Source organism: Homo sapiens, chromosome 18 (genome assembly GCF_000001405.40).
Source record: "Homo sapiens chromosome 18, GRCh38.p14 Primary Assembly".
Lineage (NCBI taxonomy): Eukaryota > Metazoa > Chordata > Mammalia > Primates > Hominidae > Homo > Homo sapiens.
The window spans coordinates 48781515-48792441 of record NC_000018.10 but is presented as its reverse complement, the minus strand read 5'-3'; the positions used below and the strand labels follow the sequence as shown (position 1 = coordinate 48792441).

Sequence of the window (10927 nt, the reverse complement as noted above, 5' to 3'; positions counted from 1 at the left end):
AAACTCAGGTCAGACCTTGCCTTCCCTGCTGGAAACCCTCTGATGCATCCCACCCCTCTCAGAGCTAATCTCGTCCTTGTGAGCCTATAGATCCCAGCATCCCGCTGACCTGATGCCTTCCCATGGCTCCCACCCACCCCCCTGACCTGGACTTCTTGCAGTTCTCCCATGGGGCAGGCACACTCCTGCCTCTGGGCCTTTCACTGCTCTTTCTCTTTGACCAGGATGCTCCCCAGGTCTGCACGGCTCACTCCTTCAAGCCTATCCAAGGGTCACCTGGGTGAGCTCTTTTCCAATCACCCTATTTAAAATTGTCCCCCAACATGCCCTGCTTCCTTCTCCACAGCCTTTTGGAAATTTACTTATTTGCAGATCTGTTGCTTTGATGCTTATCATCCCCTCCTCGCTAGAATGTAAGCTCCATGAGGGCAGGTTGCTGAGTCTGTCTGTTTGCTGCTGAATCCCACCATAGCCCAGGGCCTGGCACGTGGTAGGCCTTGAATTCATGGAGTGTTGAATGAACAAAGTTGCCTAAAGTTTGGTTAGAGAGACAGGAACAGACCCAAGAGATGACACTAAGAACACCAGGTGGCAAAAGCTGAGTGCCCAGTGAGGGCACAGATAGACTCCAGCAGCCTGGGTGATCAGGGAAGGCTACAGAGAGAGAGAGATTAATCTGGGAGAAGGGATGACTATGAACAGGTTCTGCTGACTCAGGGAAGACACTCACTAGAGAGGCATGGAGGAAGGTGATAAAAGCTACGGTTGAGACGGGGCAGGCTGCTTGGGGCAAGGAGATGCTGTGATTGAGGTGCTGGCCCTCAGGGTCTCTGGGCAAGCCACAGGCACATTCCTGTGTCCACAAACTGGTAGCTCCCACTAAGGGGAGCCCCCAGGGCCAGGCTGAGGCTGGGTGGGAGGGAGGGGCTTCCACTCAGCTTGGGGGCTGGGGGTAGAGGCTGCCCAACCCTGGGCCACTCTCTTCTTTCCTCTGAGTTTCTGGTAGCCCTGCCTGTGTCCCTGCCTGTCTATCCAGAGCCTGCCTTTCTCTTAAAGAAGGAAGGAAATGAAAAAAGAAAATGAAGTGAAACCATGAAAATGACTTAAAAGAGCTTGGGGCTCAGGGCTTGGGAGCCTTAGGTCTTCCATTCTGCTCTGCCTCTATCTTGCTATAGGGCCTTGGGCAAATCACATTTCCTCTTGGGCCTCAGTTTCCTCACCTGTCCAGTGTGGCTCTCATGGTCTGACCAGCCAGCATGCAGGAGGCCTGGGAGCTATCTGTGGACATGTGTCCCTCCTTTGGCCTGGTGTCAACCCCTCTCTGGGCCTGAGCCACAGTGTAGGGCTTGTACAGGGCCTCCCCTTCCTGCCCCAGGTCTGCTCATGACCTCAAAGACAGAGACATGACATTCCTAGGAGGTCTGTTCTGGGTGCCAGGACTCTCCTGAGAAGATGGAGTGAGAAGGTGGACAGGTTTGGGGGCTGAGGGAGAGCAGGGATTGGGGGAAGCTGGCTAGAGGAGGGTCCATGGCCCAGCAGAAGGAGAAGGGCTATCCGGGAACCCCAGCAGGTGAGCCAGCTGACAGAGGCCCCAGGAGGACGTGTTCCCCAGCACGAGGTGGCCTATGACGTGCCTCTCTGATTTCCAGGGTGGCGACTGCAGGCGCCCGTGGCTCCAGCCGGGCGGGGTCTGAAGTGGGAACTTCAGAGCTAGACTTGGCCGCGTTCCTCTGAAATCCCTGGCCTGTGAGAATGAAGGCTGCCGGTCACGTCCTCCCTTCGTCTGCTCCTCCATGAGAGACCTGGCCTCAAGCCTCTGGCCGTTGAGGCCGCCCGTCCAGCTCCCAGTGCTTTCTTAGTCTTTCAGGAAATGTCTCCAGGCCTGGTGGGGTACGTGTGTCCGGGGGATGGGGAGGGGGCTGCTGAGCTGGGCCCAGGCCAAAGGGCTCCATGGGGCGTCCTGTTGGATTTGGCAGCCTGCCCCTTGGTGACTCATGCCTGCTGGCTGTCCCTTAGCCCCATGCCCCCTCGAACTCGGCACTCCAGAAACAGCCTTCTCCCATGGCCCAAGAAGCACCGCTGTAACTCCTTGCCATGGACCTTTGCTCACACTCCCTGCCTGTTGGACACTTCCTCTGTATTTAACCTTCAGCCAAGTGACCCTGGATGAGCTATTTCCCCAGTCTGGGTCTTAGAAAAGGAGGTGGCTGTACTCACAGAGCCTGAGATCCTTATTCCAGAATTTCCCTTTTTGGAAAGGTGGTTCAGCTTCTAGGCTTTCCTTCTCCAAAGGACATACGGTACTGGGGGCGGAACCTCTGTCCTCATTCTACTTCCATCCCTTCCCCAACACCTAGTAGGCAGCCTTAGGCTAACATGGGTTAGCTCCTTTCATCTTCACAATGGCCCCATGGCAATGAAGCTGTGATCATCCCATTTTATAGATGAGACACCTAGGACATAGAGAGGGGAAAAGTACCCTGCCCAAGGTCATGAGGTAGCAGGTGGCAAAGCCAGCATTCAAAGCCAGGGGCCAGGCTCTAGCATCTATACTCTTCACCAGTACCCTACATTCCTAGGAAGCAGCATGGGGTCTCTTATTAGTCTTCCCCACTAGTCTTAAGGTTCCTGAGAGCAAAAAAACAAAGCCCTTAATTTATACTTCTAATTTTGTTCTTTTTTCAAGATTCCTTTGGATATTGTAGGTTTGAGTTTCCATATATATTTTAGAATCAGCTTGCCAATTTCTGCCCAAAAGGCTTAATGGCATCTTGATTTGAGACTGTTGACTCTAGAGACCAATTTAGGAAGAAGTGACATCATACCAATACTGAGTATTCTAGTCCATGAATATGGTATGTCACTGATCTACACTTGACTGTATCTCCCTAGAGTTTCAGACAGGGCTAGACCTATAATATTAGTGCACACCTGATGAATCAAACTGAAATTAAAATTCCTTTCACTATTATCCCAAGCAAAGTCCAATTGAACCATAGCCAACATTATGAGCACTTATTGAGGGCCAGGGTTGTATTATGCCCTTTACTACATTATCTCATTTAATCCCCAGCAATCCAACCCAATCATTATTACCATCCTCATCTTACCAGTGAGGAAACTGAGGCTTGGAGAGAGTAAGAAACCCATTCAAGGTTACACAACTAGTCTGTGACAAAGCTGGGATGTGAACCCAGCCCTTATTGTCATCATGTTATAGGAAAATGAAAATCAGTGACTTTCCCTAAACCCGAAGAAAATGATTTGAGGCTTCTCTGTGATTTGGTACTTCCTGCCAAGGAAGCAATGGTTCAGAGGCCTAGAGTGACTGTACTAAAGGAAGATGAGGCTTGCAGTCCAGGAACATGTCCCATGGGTGCTGAGGGACCTACGTGCACACACCTGCTCTTTGCCACCTTCTTCAGGCTCAGCACAGCACACGTCCTCCTGAGTCTGCCCAGGGTCTCCCAGGCCTAAGAGGTGTGCTATTGGATGGTGGGAATGGGACAGTTTTGGCCATCGTTAACCAGACTCAGTCATGCTCACTCTGATGTCATAGTACCTTTCTAGCATCCGTGTCCACTGTTGGCCTACCTACACCTCTGGGCCGGTGATGAGTTCACACCCACCCTGTACAGAAGTACAAGTGCTTCTTCTCATTTTTTCTGTAGTGACCTCCCCAAGGGAGACCCTTGAGTTTCCCTGTGATGGTGAGAGGGTCTGTGTCCTGTTCCTATTACAGCCACACCTCTGTATTTCCCAGACTTAGGAATCTTATCTTCAAAGGCTGCCACTGTGCCTCTGGCTGTTCCCACTGCTCCCCTGACCTCCTCCAGCTCCATGAGCCCTTCTTAGTAACAAGGCCTCCGGGGGCAGGTATGTGGCCAGGCAGGGGAAAAATGCTTCAGGTGGTGTGGCCCTGGGATACAGGGAGATAGGAGGAACACAGTCACAGGATTCACTGCTGGCACTAAAAGGCCCTCAGTGGCTTCAGGCCACTTATTTACAGGTGAGGAAACCAAGGCTAGGGAGGAAGAGACAGCTTACCCAAAGCTCTCCTAGGAGTCAAGTGTCTGGAATTCTGGCCTGAAATGTTGGTGTCTGCCCCTCCTTGGGGCACCCCAATTGTGTTTTATGTGGGAAGTGCTCAGAATGAAGCTCTATACTCAAAGCTGGGACGCACTGGCCCCTGAGCATGTTTCCAGCTCAGGCTATTGCTGTTACTGATTCTTTCCTACCCCTCTTCTGGGAAAGAGACAAAAACCCCAAATTCAGGTTTCTTCTCCCCCCAGCCTAAAGGCTAGAGAGGGTCGGCCATCCAATTGTCCCCATGGGGATTATCACTGGGAGACTCTGAAAGGGGGGGTCCCAGCTCAAGGTCAGCAAAGCTGCTCTCCCTGAGCAGTGTTTTACAGGGAGAAGAAGTGCCTGGCCCCAGCCTCACCTCCCGCTGAGATCCTGCCCATGTCACCCCCAGGAGAGACAATCAGGACAGACACCAAACGCAGAGGACTGCCAGACCTCCAACCCTTGGCACTGTGGACACAGCCAGCAGACTTTCTCATGCCTTTCTGTGTGGCCAGTCCCCTCAGGGTGCTGGGGAACTGGGTGAGGAGCAGAAGAATTGGGCAGGAGTTGGCGCAGGGGCAGAGGGAATACTGTTTCTAGCTGGGAGCCATGAATCTGCACTGCAAACCACCCTTTGGAAGAGAAGCAGACTGCACAGGCAGACAGAGGCAGCCGTCTGGGAGATGGAATGCGTGATGAGGCTGACACACACCCTGCCTCTTCTTCCTTCTCAGGAGGGGGCAGACTCAACCATGAGAGGATACCCAGGAGGCCTGGAGCTGGGGCCCGTCACGGTCCCTGGTTGGAATGCCTGGTTTGGGGGCAATTGTATCCAAGGCCCTCAGAATGGAGGCGGCTGAGGCCTAGAGTTGGGCTGCACAGCCCTGAGTGTAAAGCAACCTGCAGGCAGATGATTGACTAAGGAAAGCTCCTGGTGCTTTTTCTCTTCTGAGATGTGAGTCTCCTCTCTCCATCCCTTCCTCCTTCTCTCCCTTCCTCCTGCCCTCCTTCCTTCCTTTCTCCCTATTTCCCTCCCTCTCTTTCTGTCTTTCTTTCTTCCTTCCCTTTCCCCGCCTCCCCTTCCCTTCTTTCTTTTCCTTTCATACTTAACATGTGAACCAATGTGGTCACAGCCATCCTGGGCTGGGCCCCTCCTTTGCCCTATCCCTCGCAAATAGTAAGGACTGCGGGTGGATGTCGGTCATCCTTCTGGGCCGGTGCCCCCCACACAGCTGCTCCCAGAGAGCCAGTGAAAGGCACTGCTGTTGTCCTGACCACAGCTCCGCCCCTGCCTCAATGGTCTGGAGGCTTCAAACAAACTCCCAGCCACAGGGCCCCTCCCAGGCTGCTGATGAACCATATGGATGGGCTGTGGGCTCCAGCAGGGCACAGGCTGAGTGGTGGGGTAGGGGAAGGGAGATTTACTGCCATGGTGGGGTGAGGAGCTCCAGAGGTCATCCGGGCCACCCCCTGCCCCATGCAGAAGGTGCTTCCAGAGTCAGTATTTGACTGGGGGTGGGTGGGGGGAAGGGTGGTAATGACCATGGTGGGAGAGGAGGAAGGACCCCTGGGCTGGGGTGAGGCCAAAGAGGGAAAACAGGTTCCTCCTTTCCCTTCGAAGTTCCAGGTGTGGACTCCATACCCCAGGGGTTCTGATCTAGCTAAGAACAGGCAAGGCCAAAGGGCAAACATTGACTTAAACTTATCACCTTGACTGATTCAGGCCCATGTTCCATCGAGTTTCTGCTCAGCAATGAACTGCACGTTCACAGTCGTAATCCTTAGAGTGCCTGGGATTTTCTTGTTTTCTATGTTCCAGGAACTGCTTTCAATCCTGATATGCACTGTCTCATTTAGTACTCCTAACAACTCTAACGTCACCCCATCATGCAGATGAAGAAACTGACATACAGAAAGATCACTCACTTTGCAAAGGCACACAGCTTATAAGTAGTGGAGCTGGGATTTGAACCTAGGCAGGAATGCGGCTCCTGAGTCCAGGCTCTTGACAGTGCCCACCGCTGGGCTTAGACACTAAGAGCATCTGCTGAGTGAGGCTCAGGTTCAAACTGACCCAGACAGCCTGGATCCCCAGGACTAGGGACCAATCGTGACTTGGGAGGGAGGCTGAAAAACAGGCCTGAGGCTTGCACCCCCTCCCAAACGCCAGGAACAGGCAGACTGCTCCGCCGGCACCTCCCCTGTCTCCCTGCAGTGCTCTCTGAGCTCCTTCAGCTGGCTGGTTGGATCACTCACTGATGCTGTGCGGGGTCTGTACAGGTATATCCAGCCCTGCAAAGGAGGAAGAATGATGGGCTTTGGGATGAGGGAGAACCTCAAGGATCTCGGATGAGTGATTCAAACTCTCCTAGCCTCAGCTTCCTTATTCATAAACCCTGGCGGGGTTGCTGTGAGGATGAACCTACGTAAGTCTCCAGCCAAATGGGTGGGGGCAGTGGTTCTCAGCTGTGGCTGCATGTTGGGCTCACTCGGGAAGCTTTAAACAATGTTGATGCGGGGGTCCTACCCATAAGATGGTGACACAATTTGCTTGGGGCATAGCCTGGGCATTGGCATTTTCCAAATCTCCCCAGGTGCAGCCAAGCAAGGTACCCCATAGAAATTTGGTAAATGGCAGCTGTTGATACTGTTTACCAAAGGCACGGAGGTCAGAGCTAGTTCATGGCAAAGCCAAGCTCACAGCCTGGTTTGGACTCCCAGGGAGTCTGTTAAGAATCCCCAGATCCCTTCCCCTGGGTTTGGTCTCTGGGGAGTCTCACTTTTGAAAGCCTTTTGCTTTCCTTGATGGTCTTGTGGCTGGGTCCAGCTCTTCCGCCCATTTCAGAGGAAACTGTGAACTGTCTTCAGGTAGGCAGGGGGCAGGTTTCTGTAGGATGCCTGACTGCAGGGGTGGAAATGCTCCCCAGCCTGAGATGTGAGGAGTTCCTCCAGCAGTGCAGGCCGCAGTGGTGGGAGCCTCATGACACATCAAGGCCATCTAGCCTATTTTGTGAAACGGCATCCCAAGTCAGGTTTCATTTCTGCAAATTATTTTTCTAATTTTGTAGCCACTTAGAGCAACCACAGCTGAGTTTCGGTTTGGAGCCTCTAAGAGTCAGAAACGTCAATAGACTGTGGTTCCTTCTGCCTTTCTGTGAGCTTTTCTTCATGAAAGAAAGAGAGGGAAGGAAGGAGGGAAAAGAGAGAGGAAGGAAGGAAGGAAAGAAAGAAGGAAGGAAGGACAAAAGAGAAGGAAGAAGGAAGATGGGATGGTAGGAAAAGAGAAAAGAAATTCACCCTAGTGCCTGTTTTTTCCAGAAACAAAGAACTAGAGGCAAAACTGGCCAGAGTGCAAAACTCCATGCTCACGCATGCAGCAAGGCTGAGGGCTGGGCTCTCCCGGGTTTGCTTCTCAGGAACTAGGGGGAAGATGTCTAATGTGGCCATTCCTGGGAGTGTGGATGACAGCGAGGGTTTCCTCCAGCATGTGTGAGAGGAGTTATTCACATGTACACGTGCATGAATGTGCATACATGTTTCTCTGCCCAGCGGTCCTCCTGCTTGTGGTGCTGATGCATGTTAACTGCTCTACAGGTAGTCCCCCCACCTCTCTCTCTGTCTCTCTCTTTTTGCTGACCACTCATGGATCATCCCCTGACCCTTAGGCCCCACTGCCACAGAGTTGAGGCTGCCCACACCTCTCCTGGCTCTCCCAGGAGGCTCCAATAGGACACCCCCAGTGGGGTGCTTTGCTCCTCCCAGGGTCCTTATCCTGCCCTCCTCCATCCTGCTGCAGAGAGAGAGCCAAAGATGCCAACCAGGAGACATCACCTCCATCCTTACAAACCTTTGGTGGTGCCCCAGAGACCAAAGGGTATGGTCCCTCCGACCAGGTAGGGCAAACAGTGCCCCTCCCAAGCTGGTTCTGGCCCACACTCTCTCCTCCCACCTCAGCCCCCAGTGCACACTATACTCGGGAACAACCCCTTCTTTTGCTGTACATGATTCTTGTCTGCTTCTTGCCTCTGCTCATGCTCCTGTATTCGCCTAGACAATGCCCTTCTGCACGTTTCTTTGTTTGGCACCCCCAGCCCAGGTGCTGGGACTCAGGCCTGTGTTCCTCTCTCTGTGAGACACCCTCATGTGAGTTCTCTCTCCTCTCGATGCTCGGGGCCGTCTGGGTGTGCCGCGATGACAGCACCTAGCATGCTGGTCTGGAGTTACTGGGTACTGTCTGCATTCCCCACCAGATTAGGAGATGCCCAATGGCAGGAGAGGGGACCTCCTTTTCCATTTTTCCACCATCTCGCTGCCTGGAACACAGCACATGCTCAGCTGATAAATGAATGAATCTTGGTGTGGAAAAGGCCATCCCCACTAGAGTGCACATGGAGCAATGTAAAGATGTGTGTGAGATAGGGCAGGGGACTGGAGGTTTGGTGGCCCGTGTGGGTAACAGCATACGTGTGGACGCTACGTAAGGCTGGAGGGAGTGAGTGCTGACTGGGTGCCTCTGGGGCTCGGTGGACTGGGGTCAGAGGGCGGTGGTCGGCAGGCAGCGCTTGCCTGGAGGCAGCCTCCGCAGGTTTCCCCCGGCCTACGGGATGGTGGCAGCCTGCGGCAGACAGCAAAACACTGAATTCCCAGCCACGTGGGAGGAAGTGTCTCCAGCCGAGAGGATAGAGGAGGTGGGGTGGGGTGGAAATCCCAGGTGTAAAGATGAACTGGCAGTTCAAGCTGCAAGTTACTGTCAGGGTGAGGCATGCAGCCCCAGGGTCGGAGGCCTCCCCAGGCTGTACCCCACACACTCAACAGTTCCTCTTATCCCCGGGCTCCTCAGTGCCAGGAGAGCTGGGTATCCAGGTGAACCGTGCTGTTCTGGAACCAGAGTCCTGAGCTCCAAGATTTATTGGACTGGTAAAATTTGAGGGTTGCCCACATTTTATTTTGCTAAGCATTTTTTTTTTTAAAGCTTCATCCGTCATATCATAAAAGAAAGGACAACTTAATGCCAATATGGTAGGAAGGATGCAATCTCAGAGTAGTAGCCAGTCCTTCCCAGAAAGGGCAGTCGACGACTTTTCAAGTCATTCCATACATAAGCCGTGCTGGTGCAATGTAGACCAGCTGTGGTTGGTGGACTGGCCCCTGGGAGCCCCCCAGCTAGGCCTCCCAGGTGGTCCAGACCTGTGGTGGCCTACATGGGACCCTGTGTCTAACAGGCCTGGATCCCAGTTGCTCTTCCCAGCTAAGACATCAGCCTTTCCCAGATAGGAAGGGAGGGACAGTACACCCTGTCATTCACTAAAGGTTAGGACCCAGGACAGGTAAATGTTAATTGGAGATGAAGGAGAAAAACATCTGTAATCTGGGGTGTTCTGGGAAGCCAGGCCTGGGCAGGGGAGAAGGGTCTACAGGCGAAGCTCCCCACTTCCCACTCCTGCCCCATGGGCTCTCTGAGTCTGGTGGCTTGGTAGCCAGTGGAGTGGGGGTGGGTGGTGGCAGCTGCCCCGGGCCACAGGCGTGGGCATTCCTCTTCTAAGCTCCACACTCACACTCAGCCCTGTTTATAAGGCACAGGAGCCAAGGAGTCTGTGTGGCCCCGCCAACTCAGCCCGGAGGCCCAGAGGAGGGAACCCAAGCCGAGGTTGGACTGAACCACATCTCATGCCAGCCCCAGGACCTGTCCGCCTGCAGCTTCCCAGAGCCTCGGGCACCTGACCTGTGGCCCTGTGGGTGCACTGAGGGCCTGGGATCTGGGCCAAGGAGGGGAAAGCGAATGCTGAGAAGGCCTTGTGGGTGGGTGGCATTCATGTCCCCTGGGCGCTGCACGCTTTAAATAGCTCAGCTTCTCTCCCGCTCACAGTCTTGTCACCCCTGCCAGCTCCTGCCTGAGTTTCCACATCAGAGAGGGCTGATTTCCAGGTCAGGATGGGGAGCGGGTGGGGGGACAGGGGGACCTGGCTTCCTTGGGTGGCAGAGGCTCAGGAGAGGAAAACAGAGTGCTGCCCCCATCCCTCTGCAATCAGTGGGACTTTATGCTCCAGGCCAGGCAGGGGCCCTGGAGCTTGATGGGCAAGGGGCTTCATATGGCTTCCCCTGTCTCCCTGGAGAAGTCCATGCCCAACCCAGGCCACCTTCTACTTGAATCTGCAAGCCCATGACCAAACACCCCCACCCAGAGAGCTCTTGGACTTCACCCTCCACGCCTGCCCTGGGTCCTGGTTCTGGCAGGGCTCACTTGGCTGGGCCCGTGACCCACCCCTGCCTCCATGGAAACTTCTGGGTCCCTAAGTCTTGATCCTACCCACCCCACCCTCCTGCCCACCACTCAGCACCTAGTTCATCTAAGGCAGGTCTTTAATCAGCAGCCCCAGCCCCTGCTTCAAAGCAGTTTGAATCAGTACAACTCTTTAACATTTACGTGGCACTTTACAGTTTACAAACTATTTTCACGTCCTTATTTCATGCGTGCTATGCAGAGCAGTTATAAATAATCCCCATTTTACAGCCAATGAGACAGAGACAGCCAGAAATATTAGGGGAAGTATCCAAGTTCATATGTCAAATTAGTGGTACAATCCAGACCGAAACCCAGGCCTTTTACCGCACTAAGAATGCTTCCTCTCCTGCCCCCATGCCCCCTCCCTTTTCTACTGTTTGACAAGGGGGAGAGGAGGGGAGACTAACACAAGACAAGGGGAGGAGAGGGGAGGGCCACGTGTCTTCTCTCCCAGGCCCTGAACCCTGCTGCTGGCTCCATAGGTCACTTTCACAACCCAGAACAAAAATCTCGCTAGATATGGCCTCAGACCGCCCGGCTCCAGCCACCCTCGCCGGCAGACGCATGCAGATACAC

At 53.8% G+C, this 10927-nt stretch overlaps 1 protein-coding gene across 24 annotated transcripts in view, besides 2 other annotated features; it reads right to left on the bottom strand.

Moving 5' to 3' along the window:
• CTIF (cap binding complex dependent translation initiation factor) overlaps positions 1–10927 on the bottom strand; it is a 324187-nt gene that overhangs the window by 70776 nt on the left and 242484 nt on the right. The gene's annotated exons all lie outside the window — the stretch shown is intronic.
• Positions 6940–7139: an enhancer, noted in NCBI's record as "active region_13295". NCBI's record gives its function as "activates an Ori minimal core promoter by ATAC-STARR-seq in GM12878 lymphoblastoid cells {active_cell/tissue: GM12878}" and the evidence as "EXISTENCE:reporter gene assay evidence [ECO:0000049][PMID:35858748]".
• Positions 10005–10636: an enhancer, noted in NCBI's record as "H3K27ac-H3K4me1 hESC enhancer chr18:46308177-46308808 (GRCh37/hg19 assembly coordinates)". NCBI's record gives its function as "activates a minimal SCP1, AML or CMV promoter by ChIP-STARR-seq in naive H9 embryonic stem cells {active_cell/tissue: H9 hESC(naive)}" and the evidence as "EXISTENCE:reporter gene assay evidence [ECO:0000049][PMID:30033119]".